This window comes from Homo sapiens, chromosome 18, assembly GCF_000001405.40.
Source record: "Homo sapiens chromosome 18, GRCh38.p14 Primary Assembly".
Taxonomy (NCBI): Eukaryota; Metazoa; Chordata; class Mammalia; order Primates; family Hominidae; genus Homo; species Homo sapiens.
The window spans coordinates 22942791-22963716 of NC_000018.10; the positions used below are offsets into that span (position 1 = coordinate 22942791).

The window sequence follows — 20926 nt, forward strand, 5'->3', positions numbered from 1 at the left end:
TATTATCAAAAGCACAAATAATAAAATAGAATTTAAAATATTTATTTTCAGAATACCACTATTTTAATAAATGATCTTTTGCCTATGCCAGCGTCTGCTATTAACATCTAGCTAATATATTTTCTGTGTCTAGTAAATATGGTAATCAGTTTCAAAGAAAACTAGGTAGGTTTTGTGAGGCAAAGTTGAAACACCTTGAAGAAATGGGAAAGTTTGGGGGCTCTAATAGGACAGGATAAATATTTCTTGATTCATTTTTTAATTGCTCCATTTATTTTCTATACATAGAATCAAAAATTCTAAAAAGAGAACATTATCTTAAGACTGCACAAATTAACAGTGAAAGGAATTGTCCCACTCATTATTAAGAATGCTGTCAGGCTGGGCACAGTGGCACACACTTGGGAGGCCAAGGCAGGAGGATTACTTGAGTCCGGGAGTCTGAGACCAGCCTGGACAACAAAGCGAGACCCTGTCTCTACAAAAAACATTTTTTTAATTAGCTAGGCATGGTGGTGTGTGCCTGTGGTCCCAGCTACTTGAGAGGTTGAGGCAGGAGGATCGCTTGGGCCTGGTAAGTCAAGGCTACAGTGAGCCGTGATTGCACCACTGCACCCCAGCCTGGGTGACAGAAATCCTGTCTCAAAAATAATAATAATATTATTATTATTATCAGTAACTCTCACACCTTTTATTTTTTATTTGCATTCACATCTGTAAATAATAAAATCCACAAAAATTAATTTACCCATTTTGAGATAATTCAATCTTAAGCAAAGTGAGCACAGCTTAAGTATGGCTTTGGAATTTAAATAATTTGTTAGGCAATTATAGAAATGCTAGCAGTAGTAGTTTTGGTTGAAGTTTAATTACTTCATTTGTATATAAAGCCCCCACTGTTTGTCAAGAAAGTGATGTTAGGGGTATTATTTATAATTCAGAACCATAAATAACTTGTTTAAAATGACAGTACATACATTTTATATATATATATGGTTTGGTCTGGGTAAAGAACTAAAATAAGAACATAGCAGTGATTTTTGTTAATGCATAAGGAATTCTTGCCTCATTTCTGAACTCTTAAATTTGCTTTGTGTATTACAATATACAGGCCCTTGATTGTTTCATTTCCTCCAAAATTTATGTATGAGTGTGTGTAAGGTTAATTGTAGCACAGTGCTTGGTCTTGTGAACACTGTTTCCTCAATAGGTATCTTAGGTTGCCAGTGTTACAATCCCAGATACTTTGTTCAACAGATTACCTGTTCATACAGGAGCTACATTGTTGTATAGCCTCATTCCTTCCGATGGGTGTGGAGCAGGATTAAAGCACACTTTATAGGGGTTCTAATTGTAGATTCCTAATTGACTTGGTGAATAGCAAATGCTAAAATTTAAACACACACACATATACACATATAAACCTGTTTCAGGGTGATCTACGTGACAGAACAAATGCCTCACAGGTGTTGAATGCTTACCAGATAAAAGAGTAGTTCTTCCCCTGTTTCCCAAGGATTTTCTTTTGAAGTTTATATGGATTTTCTGTCTCATTGTTTCTTTTCTTAAAATGGTTTGTGGCAAGAATCCATTTCATCTTTGGCTGCACTTTTCACTTTTAAAGGCAGAACTGATTGTTAGAAGTCAGCCAAAATTAAAAACAAAAAAAAAATCTGTCAAGTAAAATTTCGCACATTTTTGAGAAGGGAAAACATGTGCATGGATGCACCACAGGTTTTGGTTTTTTAAACAACTCACTTATTGAAGGATGTTTGGGTTGTTTCTAATGTTTGGCTAAGACTGCTGTGAACATTCAATACAGGTTTATCTGTAACATTTTTTTCACCATCTTATTTATAACATTTTATTTATTCAAATTATAGAGCATAGAATCGAAGATAAAATGTGTCATATCAGTTGGACATTTTCTAAAGGTGAAATTTGAGACATAAGGAAAAAATGTAACATCCAAAAAATTCTCCAGGGCCTTTATTTTTCCACAGTATATGGATTTCCTGGCAATAAATCATTACTATGGAGGGCAATAAGAAGAGATGACTTCTTCTTTAGTGTCTATGTGACCATGGTTGGGAAATGTATAGGTTTGTTTTTAAAATTTGTATTTGTCTAAATTATGTTGTCCAAAAGATTGTATCAAGTTTAACAAATAAAGAAAAATTATGTTCTTAGGAATGATAAATATATTAATGTTTCTATACACATATATGAAAAACTTTTCTGATTTATAACTTGATAGAATCTGTGAACTACCAAAGGCATATAGTAAATATTCTTGGGTTCTTCGGAAATCAGTCAACTAGTAATTATTTATTGGTAACTAACTGCCACCAAATAAAAATTCTTGAGTAGATCTATAATTGGGTAAATTGTAGAATAGTAAAAGCACTGATTGAGAAATTAAAGAGTAAATATTGAGGGCTTTTTTCCCCTTTATGTTAATCACATTGCAGAAAATGGGGAGCATAGAGAAAATAGAGGGCACAGCAATATTCAACAGAAAAAATTTTCTAGTTTTTTACTATTTTAATATTTGATTAAATAACTTCATTTTATTTTATTTTGTTTTGTTTTATTTTATTTTATTTTATTTTTTCAGACGGAGTTTCGCTCTTGTTGCCCACGCTGGAGTGCAATGGCGGGATCTCAGCTCACCGCAGCCTCTGCCTCCCGGGTTCAAGCGATTCTCCCCAGCCTCCCGAGTAGCTAGGGTTACAAGCATGTGCCACCACACCCGGCTAATTTTGTCTTTTTATTAGAGACGGGGTTTCTCCACGTTGATCGGGCTGGTCTCGGAACTCTTGACCTCGGGTGATCTGCCCACCTTGGCCTCCCAAGGTGCTGGTATTACAGGCATGAATCACCGTGCCCAGCCGATTAAATAACATTTTTAAATCAATATTGGGTTTTATAATTTTTACAATTTTGCTAGTTGTTTTGGTTTGACTTATATTTAGTTGCTGATGATGTATGTATTTTCATATTTGTTCAGTGACTTTTTTCTTTTGTTAATTACTGTTCATGAAAATTAGAAATGTCACCCTGTTTTGTCCATATCCTTCCTTGCAGTTTCAATGCCTGTCAGTCTGCTTTCTTCTCAGTAATTACCTGAGTCCATAGGCAGTGGTCTTCTCTTATGTTTTGTATCAGACTTAATTAAAATTAAAAATTCATGTAATAGATATCTTGAGATAAAACATTCATGCCTTTTGTTAGGTACTTTTCCATAAGGAATTTTGCTACTAGTCCAGGACTTCCTACCACAGTCTAGTTTAATCCCAGAAGATTTGTGCCTACATAAACACCATTGCTGTTAGCAAATACACAGGCTATGTCAGAACATAGACCTTCATTTACAGTGAACTTCTAATTATATGCTTGCCCTGCTATTAGAAAAGTAATAACTTACTTTAGATGGGGAAAATGTTATTCCATTTGACTGTCATATGATAGACTAAAAGCAATACATTGCAGATATGCTTTTGTGACTGCAGAGTACACGTAAGGGGCATATACTGTAAACTAATGAGACCTGGTTTATTATTTAGAGGCCAGACTGATGTGACTTAATAGTGGAGCATTTGACTCATAAAGGAACTGTTGTAGAAGTAATACCTTTTCTTTTTACTTTTCAGGTTTACAAGTAAAAGTAACCAAGCTAAAACAGGAACGAATCTTGTAAGTATCAGTATGTAATACTCATGTGTTATTTATAGAGTAGTTGATACTGATGTCCAATTTGACATTCATAGAGTAGTTGATACTGATGTCCAATTTGACCTTAATGTCTTATTTATAAAAAAAATTAGCCCTACTTAGTATGGGCCTTGGTAGTCAGCAGCAGTTTTTTTTTTCAAATTCTAAAGTAAAAAGAATAATTTTGCAATTTTAAGTGTAGCCTTAATTATGTATGTTTATATTGTAATACAACTTACATATGTAATCTTTTCCCATAAAGTATTAAAATGACAATTGATCTGTAGTCTCATTTTGATTTGTCAGCGGAGTTCTTTGTTGAGCCATAATTAACACATGGAATTCAACATGCTACAAGACGAGGAGCAGAATAATTCTGGGATTTCTAAACTCATATGAATGGAAACTAAATGGGTATTTTAAGACTCCTTTTAGGTAGTTTGAAATTACTTGAAGATTCTCTGAATTGTTTTGCTTATAAAGTTCTAAATCAGATCTGATTTTTTAAGTTCGGGAACATATTTTACTCATGATTCTCTAGAGCTTCCACATTCAGGAATCTGAAACAGATGGCAGAGTAGCTTTGTAACACTTACTAAGAAAATTCTCTTTAGCTGCTGAGAAATTTAGAAATTCTGGAATATAGACTATTCACCTTCAGATAAACTCTTGTTTTCTTTTAAAATTATTTTAATTAAGAAATTTAAAGAATTGTAAAGACAAAAAAAATTTTCCAGTTGTGCAGCACTGTTTTCATGCTTTTGATTCCTTATCACAAAGTTTCTTTGTAGAGGGTATAACTCGAACATAATGTTTTGTCCATTTTATTCATAGTAGTTCCTATCCCTCCCTATAGATCCCCCCACCCCAGCCCCCATATATGACATTTGATTTAAAAGTAATGAAAAAATTGTTGAATGTGCTGCATAGGTATGTAAAAGAGACAGGAAGGTTTGTTATCTATTTTATTACAGTTACATTTTCAAATACAAGATTTACCCAGCTTCTTATGCCAGTTGTATTTAAAATGTTCAGTTACCTTAGAAAGACAGAAGGCCACCAATTAGGAAAATGATACTGAGTTTTTAGTAAAATGCTGCTAATGGCATTGAGCTTGCTTTAGAAATGAAGTTAGTGATTGGTGTAGTAATAACTCTTCCTTTGGATGAGGTCCAGGGTAGACCTGTCTTTAATATATTAGACACTTCCCTGTTTTTGAAATTGCATGACTCTTTTTGCACTGTCTGGAATTCATCAATTTGCTTTTTTAAAGACCTTGTTAAATTATTTCTGCAATTAGTAAATGCTCTTTATGTTACCACTTTCTTGACCTGAATATTTTATTAAGTAATTGAAGTTAGTTTTAACTTCAACTTAGGTTATTCATCTACATAATAGTTTAGCTTTAAGACAAATACTGTCATGCTCTGCGTTATTCTAAATAGAACAGTAATGGAATATATGAATATGGGAAAATCAGATAACTCACTACTATTACAGAGTTCTGTTCATCATTTAAGAAAAAACCCTTTGCTATTAACTTTTCACTCCTTAAGAGTGAAAATGTATATGTGTGTAAATCTTCAATGTGTGTGTAAATCTTCAATTTAATATTTACTGTATTTTATGATACAGATTATTTAAGGCAAATGTGTGTAAATTTTCAATGTAATATTTACTGTATTTTATGATACAGATTAAGTTAAATATTAAATTTGAATACATGTTGGCAGTCTGTTTTAGGACATGATTAATCACACCTCCAGGCTTAGACAAGTTATCTGGTTGTATTTGCTGAATAGGATCAGTGAAAACCTGGTGTTCCTTCTGAATTAAATATATTTTCTAGAAGTAGTAGGAAATATTTTATTTATTTATTTATTTATTTATTTTTGTTAAATGAGAAATGGCCAGGTTAACAAGCTTCAATGATATATTACTTTCTGTTATTTTCAAGTTCTCAGATGTCCCTACATGCTACCATAACTATATTTGTTGTATAGCCAGAAGGTGTTGCTCTTACGTGTATTGGTTTTTCAATTAATATAAACTTTTCAACAAATATTTAAGAAATTCCCTCTATATTTGATACCTGACATTTTGGCTTAGTTGTTTTACTCATCTATTTTGGTGCCAGTGACACTATATTCTAGCCACTTTGACACAATCATTTTGACATCTACTTTTTATGACAGACTGATTTGCCACTCTTAATTGATTTGATATTTTAGACCCTTCAAGGGACTGGGAGAAGGTGTTTGAATCATAGTATTACATTTTCAGCTTCAAGACTATACAGAAAATCCTAATCAAATTTCTAATGGGTTTTCTTAGAATTAAAATATGTGAATACTTTATATAATAAGGTGATTTTTAAAAATAATGATAGAGGGGTAAAATATGACAACTTTGGAAGGTAATCAGGTTTAAGTAGAAGAAGATTCTGGTTGTCTTTGTTAGTTTTTTTTCTCACTATAAAGTCATAATGGTAAACACTTAACATAAAGCCTACTGTGTGCCACACTGTTCCGTATCCAATACATACATTAATACTTATTTCTCAGACCTTTTGGAGTAGATATTAATGTATCTACACTTGGTGAGGCACAGAGAGTTTAGGTTAATTGTATCAGGTCACACAGCTGGTAAATGAAGAGCTGGACTCAAACCCATTTTGCATCTGGGCGTAGGGTTCCCGTTCGTCCACTTCACTGTAAGCTCTGACTTAAAAGCAAGACCAGGTAAAAATTTTAAACAACACAGAAATTAGTAAAATAGAAAGTATGAGTTCCCCATAATTGAAGAGATGATGTGAGTAGAGAAATACTATTTACATTAATAAATATATGCAAAATAATAAAATAATGTACATTTTGATAGCTATTTTGACAAAGTTGAGTCAATAGTGGCATGATGACTTTATGGTATATAAGAGCTCTGCAGAGAAAATTCTGGTATAATTTGAACTGTGATTTACAAGATATTCCAACCTGACCTTTTCAGTTGTTTTGTTTTGGTACAAGAAATTTGTTATATAAACACGGTGGAGCTCTTAGAATTATCCTGTTAAGAGTATTTTTATCTGAAAAACTTATTTATTTTTTGACCTTTAGAGATGCACAAAGACTAGAAGAATTCTTCACCAAAAATCAACAGCTGAGGGAACAGCAGAAAGTCCTTCATGAAACCATTAAAGTTTTAGAAGATCGGTGAGTCTGGCACTTAGGTCTTGAGTAAGAAGTGATTTCCTCCATAATAAGAAGTACATTGACTTTCATTTGTAATTAGTTTTGGGATTGAAAGTGATCTTTCCCACAGCCTTCTCTCACCTTTGAATGAATACTTTATGAAAACAAGGATCTATTCTTTAAGATTTTCATTAATTCTGAGATCACATCAGTTTACCCTTTAAATGATATCTTTATCTGGTGTTTGATGTAGTGGAAGCTCAAGGGTAGCAATGTTCTAATTCATTTAATGCTTTAATTCCAGTTTTACTTCTAAGTAGGTGGAAACTGCTTCACAATTCTGTTTCTGTCGTCTTTTCTTGTTCTTGCTGTTCTCTTTTCTTCTTTGCAGATTTCCTCACTTTGAGGGAGTCTAGGGATCTTCTTTCTGAGTATTCCTGAAATAATATTATCACTTACTTCCATACACAGACTTCTTTCTTTCCCACTCCTATGAGGTTAACACTGAGGATTAGAAAAGGCTTCCAGCATTTGCTGTTTTCCCTTTTCTGAATTGTAAGTGCTATTTAGGACCTATAAACTACCTACCTGCTATAGTAAACAATATTCCAGCCAAGCGTGGTGGCTCACACCTGTAATCTCAATACTTTGGGAGGCTAAGGTGGGAGGATCGCCTGAGGCCAGACATTCAAGACCAGCCTGGACAAACAAAGCGAGACCCTGTCTCTACAAAAAATTTTAAAAGCTGAGCATGATGGCCTGAACCTGTAGTTTCAGCTACTCTAGAGGATCGCTTGAGTCCAAAGTGATTGAGGCTGCAGTGAGCTATGATCGCACTGCTGCGCTCCAGCCTGGGTGACAGAGCAAGACCGTGTCTCCAAAAAAAAAAAAAAAATACAAACCCACGATATCCCATACTTTCTTTATAGTTTTTATTTTTCCAGGGTAGGCATAGTGGCTCATGCCTGTAACCTCAGTTCTTTGGGAAGCCAAGGCAAGAAGATGATTGCTTGAGTCCAGTAGTTCAAAACCAGCGTCGCAGTATAGCAAGAACTCATCTCTACAAAAAATTAAAAATTAGCCAGGCATGTGACTGGAGTCCTAGCTACTCAGGACACTGAGACGGGAGGATTGCTTGAGTCCAGGAGTTTGAGCAAGCTATGATTGTGCCATTGCACTCCAGCCTGTGTAACAGAACAAGACCCTGTCTCTTAAAAAAATTTTTTTCTTGATATTTTTGTATATGTTACGGAAGGGCTGGGTGATTTGAGTTTGTCTCTATCCTTTTAGTGGTGAAATAATTTAATATTCTTCATATGTGCAAACTGAAATTGAGTACTTTCTACAACTACCAACTCAATGGATGCACATTTGTTGGAATAGGCAGTGTATTGTGGAATAAAGACCTGTGCGCTTTAGAATCACATATGTTTTTGAATTCCAGCTTCACCCTGTGTTCTTAATTCAGATTCCACAACAAATATTTGAGTCCTTGCTGTCTTAGGTGTTGCTCTAGGGGGCTAGGGATGATACTTTTCCTAGTATGTCATGGATTAAATGAGACAGTGCAAGTAACAATACATAACAGAAGTTGAATAAGACTTACATATCTTAGTTGGTGAATATAATTTAGCACTCCTGTCTGTGCATATATTTAATTTTCAAAGGTTGGGAGTGAGCCATACGACAAACAAATGAGACAATTTCAGATTATAAATGCTATGAAGAAAATAAAATCGAATTATGTAATTGAGTAACCACAGGATCTGTGTAGAAAAAAAAACCAAACGCAGCTTTTCCCACTGTACTCGTACAACATGCTTCAGACACCAGATGTGAGGAGGAGTTTCCCCTACCAACAAGCAAACAATTAATTCTACAGCAGACACTAGCTGGGTATCCTCTTAATTCAATTCCTACACTGGATATGGCATCAGGTCCCACAGGTTGAGGGCTTTGTCCCCATGACTGTGTCCTTCCCTCAATTCTGATGCCAATTTCAAGCCCCAGGTTGTTTACCCATGCTTTGGACAGACTCTAAATTGGGGTTCCCACAACCCCCTCCTCGGGTTATATTTACTAGAGTGACTCACGAAACTCAGGAAAACATTTATATTTATCAGTTTATTACAAAAAATTTGTTAAAGGTTACAAGTCAACAGCCAAATGAAGAGATACATGGGGTGAGGTCTAGAAGGATCCTAAACACAGGAGCTTCTGTCACCATGGAGTTGGGGTGCTGTCTTAACTGAGACTTGATTGACAGAAAGGAACCATCCACTTGAAGAACTAGAGACAAAAGGAAATAGAACAGACAAATGTGAAAGTCTAGGGTAGAAATAAGTTTGAAATATTTGAGGAACAGAAAGTCTACTGTGGTTCTAGTTTAATGAGTAAAGGGGATGAGTGATAGGAGTGAGATTGGAAATCTAGTGGGGCAACAACTAGATTTCGTAGGGACATAGGCAAAAAGTTTGGATTTTAATTGTGATGGAAACCACTTAAGCAGGAGAATAACAAAGGGATATAAGTAGGTAGCAACAGCCTGTCTATCCAAATGGAAATGTCAAGTAGATAGATGTATATGTGAATCTAGGATTCAGTGGATCTCTTAAGGACATCTTTGAATAGTATAGGAAGAAAGAAGAGGTCTTAGGGCTGAATCCTTTGGCATTCCTGATTAAGGTTTCATGAAGAATAAGGACCCAGCCAGCAAAAGATTGAGAAAGAGAAACTATTAAAATAGAAGAAAAGCCAGGAACATAGGTCTTGACCACTAACAATACCTTCTTTGCAGGGCTATTTTGAAGTTTAAATGAGATAATGGAAGCAGCAGTACATAACAGATATTTAATAAGACATATACTATCTCCTAATTGGAAGATGATTCCAACTTTTAGCACTCTAATCTGTGTTATATAACACAGCCATGTCTAGGCTGTCTAGCTGAGAAGCCAGGAAACTAGAAAGCCATCTCTCCCACTCACCCTTTCCCAGGTCAGCAATGGAAAGGAAATCATTAGTTACTCATCTGTAGTGTGGTGAGGCGCTTCCTTCTGTTTTCTCTGGATATGTAGTAGAGGATTTCAGGGAACATATCTCTCTCAGCCTTTAACTCCAGCCATTGAAGAGCTTCCTTCTCTTATTTCACCACGTTTTTTCTCTCATTTCTACCATTACACCACTTTCTACAAGCAGTGAGGTTGGAGTGAGTAATGGCATTAACGCCAAGAGATTAGGAATGCTTTTTGTTCCATCATTCCTATGTAAAGAAAATTTCAAGATTGGTATTAATAACGAAATATGTTAGCCTGAGTTCTCTGAGAAGCAAACATCAATAAGACTTTGGACACTGAAGAGATTTATTGGGAAAAATACCTGTAAGAAATGAGGCGTCTGGGAGAGCTGTCAGACCCTCATGCCTCTAACTCTGTGAAGAAGAGAGGGAAGAGGATACTGTACTTGTAAGAGAGCTTTGACAAAGCTAACAGGGAGTCCTGGAGCCATAGTTGCCCTGCTTTCCTCATTTATAGCAGGATCTGACTATGGGATGCCTGGTGTATTCACCTATGTGGAAACAGGTGAAGGATTTCACAGCACAGAAGGTGGAGCCAGGGATTTTATTCTCCTACTGTGGTAGGAGACAGTAAGATGACTGGCCAACTTATATTGACTTCCAGTACTCTTCCTGTTTAGTTGTTCCTTAGCAAGTTGTTAGAGCCCAAAATTATTACACTCAAATTTACTGGATAACATTTTCATTATGTTTTTCTTGAAACATTGGCTTAATACAATTGGCTCTCCATTTCATCCCCAAGATAGTATTCTTCATCCTGCCCCTTGAAGACATTGCTTTCCAGTGTCTTCAAAACACTCTTCATTTTATGGCTTAAAGTTTGAGCTTCCTGTTCTGGTAACCTTTGCAGTCTTGTACTTCCTTTTTAAGTAGTTTTTCTTCTCCAGGCCGTTTCAGAGAAGAAATCAGTGGATGAGTGCCTCATCTCCTTCCCATTAAATTACTTTCTTTTATGTAGTCTATATATTTTTTTTTTATTTTTATTTTTCCCTGTATTAGTCCATTTTCACGCTGATTTAAAGGACTGCCTGAGATTGGGTAGTTTATAAAGAAAGGTGGTTTAGTTGACTCACAGTTCTGCAGAGCTGGGGAGGCCTCAGGAAACTTACAATCATGGCAGAAAGGGAAGCAAACACATCCTTTTTCACATGATGGCAGGAAGAAGTGCCAAGCAAAAGGGGGATAAGCCCCTTATAAAACCATCAGATCTCATGAGAACTCACTCACTATCCACAAGAACAGAAGCATGGGGGTAACCACCCCCATGATTCAATTACTTCCCACAGTTGGGACTGTGGGAACTACAATTCAAGTTGAGATTTGGGTGGGGACACAGCCAAATCATATCATTCCACTCCTTGCCCCTTCCAAATCTCATGTCCTCGCATTTCAAGACAATCATTGCCTTCCCCACAGTCGCCTAGAATCTTAACTCATTACAGCATTAACCCAAAAGTCCAAGTCCAAAGTCTCATCTGAGACAAGGCAAGTTCCTTCCGCCTGTGAGCCTGTAAAATCAAAAGCAAGTTAGTTACCTCGTAGATACAGTGGGGATACAGGCATTGGGTAAATACACCCATTCCAAATGGGAGAAATTGGCCAAAACAAAGGGGCTGCAGGCCCCATGCAAATCCAAAATCCAGCAGGGCAGTCAAATTTTAAAACTCCAAAATGATCCCCTTTGACTCCATGTCTCACATCCAGGTCATGCTGATACAAGAGGTGGGTTCCCACAGTCTTGGGCAGCTCTGCCCCTGTGATTTTGCAGGGTACAGCCCCATTCCCAGCTTCCTTCACAGGCTGGCATTGAGTGTTTGCGGCTTTTCCAGGTGCACAGTGCAAGCTGTTGGTGGATCTGGGTGTTTCTGGGGTCTGGAGGATGATGGCCGTCTTATTACAGCTCCACTAGACAGTGTCCCAGTGGGGACTGTGTGGAGGCTCCAACCCAACATTTCCCTCCCACACAGTTCCACATGGTTGGGGAGGCCTCAGAAAACTTACAATCATGGCGAAGGGGGAGTAAACACGTCCTTCTTCACATGATGGCAGGAGGAAGTGCCAAGCAAAAGGGGGAAAAGCCCCTTATGAAACCATCAGATCTCGTTAGAACTCACTATCAAGAGAACAGCAGCATAGCGTTAACTGCCCCCATGATTCAGTTACCTCCTACCAGATCCCTCCCTCCTGATTTCAAGCAGTTCTCCCACCTCATCCTCCCAAAGCGCTGGTATTGTAGGCATAAGCCACTGTGCGCAGCCAGTTGATACATTTAATTGTTAAAATTATGTGTTTTATTCTGCATTTCTTAAAACTAGGTTCTTTTCTCTTTAAGATCTATTCTACCTCTGGTGGATGCCATGCTGCTTTGGTATTTCTCATTCTAAATATTCCCTTGCCTTTCATTCCATTCACCTTTACATCCTCAGGTACATGGGCCTGTAATTCATTAGGTGGTATTAATTTGGTGGCAGGGAGTCGGGGTGGGATGAGGGATATGTAGCTCGTTGTTTTGTAGACTTGCTTTTGCTCACCTTTCTTCAAATGCAAATCCAAAATTTCCTGTGGGCACACTTAAAGATTTATCTCTTGTTTCATGAAGCTCCATTTAATTAAGCTGAAGATCTGTTTTTTTAAATACAGTAGTTAGTATGTATTGAGGATTCACTTTGTACTTAGGCATCCAGCGCTAAATCTTTCTATTAACGCTACAGGATAGATGATAGATCCATTTTGCATGTGAGGAAACTAGCTGGCAAAGAGCAAAGAAGCTTTCCCAGGATCACATAGTTAATACATAATTAGGTTTATATCTTTTTTTTTTTTTTTTGAGACAGAGTCTTGCTCTGTCACCCAGGCTGGAGTGCAGTGGCGCGATCTCTGCTCACTGCAAGCTCCGCCTGCCAGGTTCACGCCATTCTCCTGCCTCAGCCTCCCGAGTGGCTGGGACTACAGGCGCCCACTGCCTCGCCCGGCTAATTTTTTTTTGTATTTTTAGTAGAGACGGGTTTTCACTGTGTTCGCCAGGATGGCCTCGATCTCCTGACCTCGTGATCTGCCCACCTGGGCCTCCCAAAGTGCTGGGATTACAGGTGTGAGCCACCGCGCCTGGCCAGGTTTATATCTTAAATCTGATCCCCGCTTCCATTTTTACTATTTCATGATGCCTCCCCTTTATATTGTCTTAACTTTATTAATGTTATATAAATTAATTACATCTTAAATGATCATCTCAAAGTATTTGTGCTTGATCTAAAGTTTACCAAAACAGACACTCTGAAATATCAGGTCTTCAACATTGCCTATTGTATAGTCTGTTTCCTTGGAAGGTTTTTTTTTCGTTTTTGTTTTTTTAATTGTTGCTAACTAAATACTACCTTTAAAGGACTAAGTAGGTAACTTTTGGTGAATTTCTGCTTTATTTAAAATTTTCTTTTAGTTCTATGTCATATGTAAGAATGATTATCTAGAGTAAGCTTTAAAAATCTGTACAAACTAACATTTTGCTGAGACCTTTAAAAGCAACATGTATTTTGTTAATTTTTTTTTCTTTTGTTTGGTCTTTTTGTTTTGTTTTGTTTTGTTTAGAGACAGGGTCTTACTCTGTTGCCCAGGCTGGAGTGTAATGGCACCATCATAGCTCATTACAGCCTCAAATTCCTTGGCTCAAGAGATCTTCTCACATCAGCCCCCCCAGGTAGCTAGGACTACAGGCAAGCACCACGCCATGCCTGGCTAATTTTTTTGTTTTTATAGAGACTGTCTTGCTGCGTTGATCATAGGCTGGTCTTGAACTCCTGGCCTCAAGTGATCCTCCTGCCTTGGCCTTCCACGGTATTGGGATTACAGGCATCAGCCACTGTGTTCAGCCTATTTTGTTAAAATTTCTGAACAGTAATTCAGCCTACTCTTCATAAAACAAAGCAATTCTTAGTATGTTAATGGGAAAACACTGAGATATTTCAATGAAGGGAATTACCTAGTAAAAGTAAATTAGATAATAAAAAGTTCTAAGTTCTAATTTTATGTGGCTCATTTATGTTTAATGATTATTATGTTTTATATTATGTTTAATAATTATTATTATGTTTAATGAGTATATTTACAGACTTTCCTTCCAGGAACTAAAGTATTTCACTAAATCTAAGAAACAGTCACTGTGCTGGAGAAGTAGATAGAACGCATTTTTTTTGAAAATCTGAACAAAGAAGTTAAAACACAGTTGTCTAATAGAGTTTAATATTTTTTAAAGCATTTTGGCAGTCAGTGAGCTCATTTTCAGATGCTGTTAAAAGGAAAATTGATACTTATAATCAGGAGATGTATGGTTCTGCAACTATTTTTCAAACACTGAAGCAAGTGTCCGCTTTTGTGTTGCTGTTATTCATAGATTTGAATTTAAACATCATATTATTCAGGAGACTTTCTCTAACTTGCTAGACTAGGTTAAGTTGCTGTGTGCTTTCATAGTACTCTGTATTTCTGCTGTCACAGTATGAATTATACTTTGTTGTAATTACTTTTTCTTTTTTTTTTTTTTTTTTTTGCCTGTCTTTCTCTGGTAGACTATAAGCTTTTTAAAGAAATGGCATTACCTTCATCTCTGTTGTATTTACAGCACTGAGCACATTGTAAGTAAACAGTGAAACCATATTGAATGAAAATGAATAAATGTCAATAAATCTTTTTGGGCTATAGCAAACAATTGAGCATAATTGTTACTCTGATAAGTTTTAGTAGCAAATGGAAGCTTTTATTTCTTCATCTTTGTGAACTGGAATAAACTCAGAATGCATGTTGCTTTCTGCCTTTTGTGGAATTGCCCTTTTTTCCCTTTACCTGTTACATAGCTACTGAAACTGCATTCTCTTGTGAAATTGGGAGTGTTTTTTCTTTAGCAGCAGCAGTGGAAGATAGGCAAGAGGAAAGCAATGGAACCATGCTGATGGAAACAGGAGCTAGCACATTTTCTTGCTTCTATTTAAATTTAAACTAGGATCAGCAATCAAAAATTGACCCTTTTTCACAGATACTATTATCAAGAATGGTAGGTGATAAGAAAAACTGAAAGTAATAAGCTAGGGAATATTGCTTCATTTTGTTTCATTTTGTAACCATCTAGCCAGTGATATTTTAAAAATCCCTCTCCTGTATTTGAAAAGTTATTGTTTTAGCTCTTCTATTTTACCTTTCAACCTTAATATATATATTTAGGTCTTTGTTTTATATTGCTTCACCTGTGAACAGTTTCCCTGTTCTTACCATTATGTTACAGGAAGATACTGGTGTTTCTTACCCTTTCCTCTATCACTTTTCCGCTCTTTCTACCATCTGCCTTTGATGAGCTGAACCTTTACGATATAAATATGGTCAAGGTTGACAATAGTTATCTTCTTTTCTATTACCAGATTTCAGTCTTTTTTGTATTTTGTTTATAAGCTGATTCTAGAAGTTGGAAAATAGTAAACTGAGTTTATTTATTGACTGTATAAATATTCACTGCAGAGCTAGGATTGCATTTCTTTACGTATCTGATGTCATGGCCTTTCTGCCACTGAGGGAAATTGTTTCTAATGTCCAGATGAAATACATTGTTTTTTACTTTGTCCCCAATCAGTTGTTCAAATCAGCTCATAATTATGTTATGATAATGACTTATTTAAATGTTTTTTTCTAGAATTTCTCACTACCCTTTTTCATGTTGAGACAAGAACCATGTTTCCTTACATCATTAATATTATTTAATGCCTTAGTTATTCTACTCATTCATTAATTTTTTTTTGTTGTAGGTTTTGTTTGTTTGTTTTGAGGCAGGGTCTCGCTCTGCTGGAGTGCAGTGGCGCGACCTTGGCTCACTTCAGCATCTACCTCCCAGGCCCAAGTGATCCTCACACCTCAGCCTTAGAGTAGCTGGGACTACACATAACACTACACCTGACTAATTTTCTGATTTTTTTATAGAGACAAGGTCCTCCTATGTTGCCCAGGCTTGTCTTGAACTCCTAGGCTCAGACCATCCTCCCACCTCAGCCTCCCAGAGTACTGAGATTATAGGCATGAGCCACTGTGCTCAGCCAGTTCTTTTTCTTGAAGAAATATTTCTTGGGCTAAAAAACTTCTTGTACTAATTTAGGTCATTCACTTTCTAGACTATTCTAGAAAGCTGTCATTCTGGATTTCTCTTCATTAGATCCCTGCATTAATTCAGTTATTTCATTTCTCTCATGTTAAACAGTCAACAAATACTTAATGAACCACCTGTTTTGTTCCAGGCACTGTTTTAGACCTTGGGGATACACCAGTGAATGTGATCGATAAATGTGGGCCTTTCTATTGGTTTTTTAAGCTCATTTTGTTACAGCTTACCCTCAAGTAACTGCTGAAAAAGAAGGCACAGGAACTAAATTTTCAAAGGGTCCTTGCATTCTCGAAAATATTTTTATTCTACTGTTTATTATATAGTTGATATTTTGACTGGATATAAATTTCTAGGTTTAAAATAGTTTTCCCTGAAAACTTTGAAGGCATTTCTCATTGTTAGCATTCCAGTACTGATACAGTCTGCCATTCTCGTGTTAATTCTTTTGTAGGTAACAGATTTTCTTTTCCTTTCTGAAATTTTTCCTTGTTCTGATCAACCTTCGTGATGCTCTGTGTGTGTGTGTTTCCTTCATTGCACTGGACACTCAACCTGTTAACCTAAAAACTAGCACTCAAAGTCTGGTAATTTTTTTCTGCCACTTTCTCTATTTTTTAATGGTCTCTCTTTCTGGAGCACTTCTTAGTCAGAGACTGATTTTTTATCATCTTTTCTCTTATTTTCTATTACTTGTTTTTCTTCCATGTTCTGTGAGATTTCTTTTATTCTCCAACCCTACTATTGAAGTTATTTTGACAATCACGTACGTAATATCCAAGAACTTTTTATTATTTGTTGATTGTTGCTGTATATTTATATGTGTGTGTGTGTTTGTGTGTGTGTGTGTGTATACTCTTGTTTTATGGCTGTATCATTTCCCAGATTTTTCCAGGAATGCTAGATAGCTTTTGCTTTTCCCCCTCAAGGTCTTTTTGTGTGGTAAAAATCTATATAAGATGAACTTTCTTTTTTTTTTTTTTTTTTTTTGGTGGTGGTTGTTGTTTTGAGACAGAGTCTCGCTCTGTCACACACGCTGGAGTACAGTGGTGCAATCTCAGCTCACTGCAAGCTCCGCCTCCCAGGTTCACACCATTCTCCTGCCTCAGCCTCCCGAGTAGCTGGGACTACAGGCACCCGCCACCACGCCCAACTAACTTTTTTATATTTTTTCGTAGAGACGGGGTTTTACCGTGTTAGCCAGGATGGTCTCAACCTCCTGACCTTGTGATCCGCCCACCTCGGCCTCCCAAAGTGCTGGGATTACAGGCATGAGCCACCACACCTGGCCGAACTTTACTATTTTTTAAAAAACAACTTTATTGAGATAAAATTCTCATAACATACAGTTTACCAACTTAAAGTGTACAGAGGCTGGTGCATTGGCTCACACCTGTATTCCCAGCATGGGAGGCCAAGTAGGCAGATCGCTTTAGCCCAAAAGTTTGAGACCAGCCGGGGCAACGTGGCAAAACCCTGTCTCTAAAAGTACAAAATTACCCAGCATGGTGGTGAGTGCCTGTAGTCCCAGCTACTCAGGCTGCTGAGGTGGGAGGATCACTTGAGCCCAGGAAGTCAAGGCAGCAGTGAGCAGTGATCATGCCACTGCACTCCAGCCTGGGCGAAAGAGCAAGACCCTGTCTCAACAAAAAAGACAAATGATTATCAATGCTTATATTACAGTCTCCCTTTATAAAAAAAAAGTTTTTTTCTTCTGACAGTCTCGTTCAGTCATCCAAGCTGGGGCGCAGTAGTGCAATAATAGCTCACTGCAGATTCTCCTGCCTCAGCCTCCCAAAGTGCTAAGATTATAGGAGTGAGCCACTGTGCCTGGCCTATAAAAATTTTTTATAATGTAATTTTTAGTATCCTGAAATGAAATTTAAATAATATAACCTACCTACATACATAATTATTTTTTAAATATCACAACTATATAGAGAAAATTGATTTGTAGTATATCAGAAAGTAAATATTACGGGTATGTCTGTTCTAAAAGATGAGTTGTTGAGATACTCGTTCCTTTGTATAAAATGATCATTAATGTGACTGATACAAGTATGTTTATTGATGATTCAAGTAACACTAACTGCATTTTTCGTCAGTGACATGATTTTTCAAAATTGTAAAGATTATTGGTAAATAGGAACAGTTCCAACAGACCTAATCATTTTTGTTTGTTTAATTAAAGTTGTACTAGCTCCTAGTTTAACTTGTAAAAAGCATTATATGTATGTGACCAGTAATCAGCAAGAAATAAGGAAAAGCGAATGACAAAAAAGAAAAACTTGCATGTGTAGCTGGGAGATCAGCATCAATATCAGATGCCTGTTAGCCTTGTTTAACCCTTCTCTTAGCTGTGAGTTTAAGCCAGACTTAAAAGCCAAGCATGAGTGGAAGAGCTGGGGGCCCAGCTATACAGGTAGGAAAGCTAAGCATGTAATGAGTGCTGATGATGAAACTTATTGCAAGCCATGGATGGCTCCATAGGTTCAAGGCATACCATACTTCTTACACCCCAGAGTGAGTGGTAGGGCAAGTGTGTATATTTTAAGTACTCAGGCATTAGATTTTCACTGTTAACAAAATGGCTCAATATAAGGATAAGACATGAAAAGAACATAGGTAGGAGAAGATGAGAGTGCCTTATTCTAAAGCAAGCTTGTCTAACCCACGACCTGCGGGCTGCATGTGGCCCAGGACAGCTTTGAATGCAGCCCAACACAAATTTGTAAACTTTCTTAAAACATTATGAAATTTGTTTGACTTTTATTTTTTAAGCTCATCAGCTATCATTAGTGTTAGTGTATGTGGGCCCAAGACAGTTCTTCCAGGGAAGCCAAAAGATTGGACACCCCGTTCTAAAGCTTTAAGGATCAATCTGTGAAGAGAAGCTTCTGAGCAGATTCCCGGGCCCCGTCCCTGCAGATTCTAATTCAGTTGATCATGGGTAGACTTACAAATCTTTTTCCTCTCTTTCTCCCTCCCTCCCTTTTAAATCTGCTTAGGTGGTTTTGAGAAATAGCCAGGTTTAGGGACCACTGATCTAACTATCTATTCAACATGTGTTTAAAATTACCTTCCTAATTTCTGAGTGATCGTCTTTTCTGTGCTTAAACATGTCCAGTGACAAATGAAATCACTCCCTTCTTAGGTAACACATTCCATCCTTAAATACTGTAATTGGAAAGTTTTCTTTATACTAGGTTTATATCTGTAGAATTGCTGCCCATTGGTCCTAGTTTTAGTCCTTTAGATCATAAATCTCTTTCACATGATTAACTTTTCAGATATTTAGACAGCTGTCAGCCCTCAGTACCCTTCTGACTTTTTTTTTTCTCCTGCTGATTTTCCTCTTTGCTTTACTCTACTGAAGTTATACTGGCCTCCTTGACATTTCTTTAATAGTCCAGGCACTTTTCAACTGTAGGAATTTTGTACTCTATCCTCATTCACCTGTAACAGTCTCTTGCAGGTATTCTTAAAACTCACTCCCTCTCATCATTTACATCTCCTCGCAAATGTTAACTTCACAGTGAAGTTTTTCTTCAATAGCCTATTTAAAATTGCACCAAGTTCCCCAACCTAACTGGATCTTCTATCTCCCTCTGTGATTTGTTTCCTCCCAAAGCACGTATCACCTTGTTTTTTTTTCCTTTTTCTTTTTTTGAGACAGAGTCTCACTCACTCTGTCGCCCAAGCTGGAGTGCAGTGGCATAATCTTGGCTCACTGCAACCTCCACCTCTCGGGTTCAAGTGATCCCCCCGAGCTCACACACATACACACCCCCTCCTCTCCACCCCCCCTACCTCAACCTCCCTAGTAGCTGGGACTACAGGTGTGTGCCACCATGTCCAGCTAATTTTTCTGATATTTTTCGTACGGACAGGGTTTCACCATGTTGGCCAGGCTGGTCTCGAACTCCTGGCCTCAAGTGATCCACGTGCCTCAGCCTCCCAAAGTACTGGAGTTACAGGCATGAGCCACCGCACCCAGCCCCAAAGTACATACCACCTTCTAATACGCTATACAACTTACTTTACTTTCCCTTTTTTTTGTCTATTTTTTATTGTGTCTCTTCTACCAGATTCCAAGTCAAACAATTGTACTGATCTTTCTCATCTTTATAATTTCAGCCAAAAGAACAGACATTTATTCAGAGTAGGAGATCAACAAACATAATTAAGTTCTCCTTCTTTCCAATTTCCCCTTCTTCAGAAGCAGTCATTTTCAATTCTTCATATTGTTTTGCTGTTTACTTCAAAAATCTCTTTTTAAAAATGTTTATGAGCTATCTATAAATTTTTCTTGACTTAGGTGTTTTTTTTTCTTTTTTCTGCTTTCTACATAGACGCCATTCCCATTTCCCTCTTCCTCCTATGTAGTGTATAATAATTTTGGTTAGATCACTATTGAGTTTTTATTTTATGATTATGTAAATGCAGTTCAAAGCTGAAACATATTGTAAACTGTAATTTTTCTTCCTATGCAAATTTCTGTTGTCCATAGTGTTTATGATGGACCTTTTTTTCATATGCTTAGTGTTCTTACCAACCACTAGTTCAACCACAACGTTCTATCATTTATCTAAATGTATCAAGGTGTTTAGATGGGTTGTATCTTCTGTCATTTCACCTTTTCAAACAGATCTGTCTCAGAGGCTCTGATCTGCTTCAATTTGGACTCTGTCCTCTTTACCTGCTACGTAGTGGTCATCAGAGGTTCCTTTTACTGCTTTCCTTTTTCATATATCTAGGACTTCTTTTCTATTTTTTCTTATTTTGGTAGAATGCCTCCTCCAGTAGATTTCTGAG

General features: G+C 36.9%; 1 protein-coding gene across 14 annotated transcripts in view, besides 1 other annotated feature; it reads left to right on the forward strand.

Moving 5' to 3' along the window:
- Positions 1–20926, forward strand: part of RBBP8 (RB binding protein 8, endonuclease) — a 112348-nt gene that overhangs the window by 28652 nt on the left and 62770 nt on the right. For 13 of the 14 annotated variants that reach the window (XM_047437728.1, XM_006722519.3, XM_011526132.3 and 10 more), the window contains 2 exons: positions 3654–3696; positions 6828–6923. In XM_047437728.1, the coding sequence (XP_047293684.1) occupies positions 3654–3696; positions 6828–6923 (139 nt within the window). Of the gene's footprint in view, positions 1–3653; positions 3697–6827; positions 6924–14540; positions 14607–20926 lie in introns of those variants that run through there. The other variant, XM_047437732.1, reaches the window with a different exon arrangement.
- Positions 9071–9759: an enhancer, noted in NCBI's record as "NANOG hESC enhancer chr18:20531824-20532512 (GRCh37/hg19 assembly coordinates)". NCBI's record gives its function as "activates a minimal SCP1, AML or CMV promoter by ChIP-STARR-seq in naive H9 embryonic stem cells {active_cell/tissue: H9 hESC(naive)}" and the evidence as "EXISTENCE:reporter gene assay evidence [ECO:0000049][PMID:30033119]".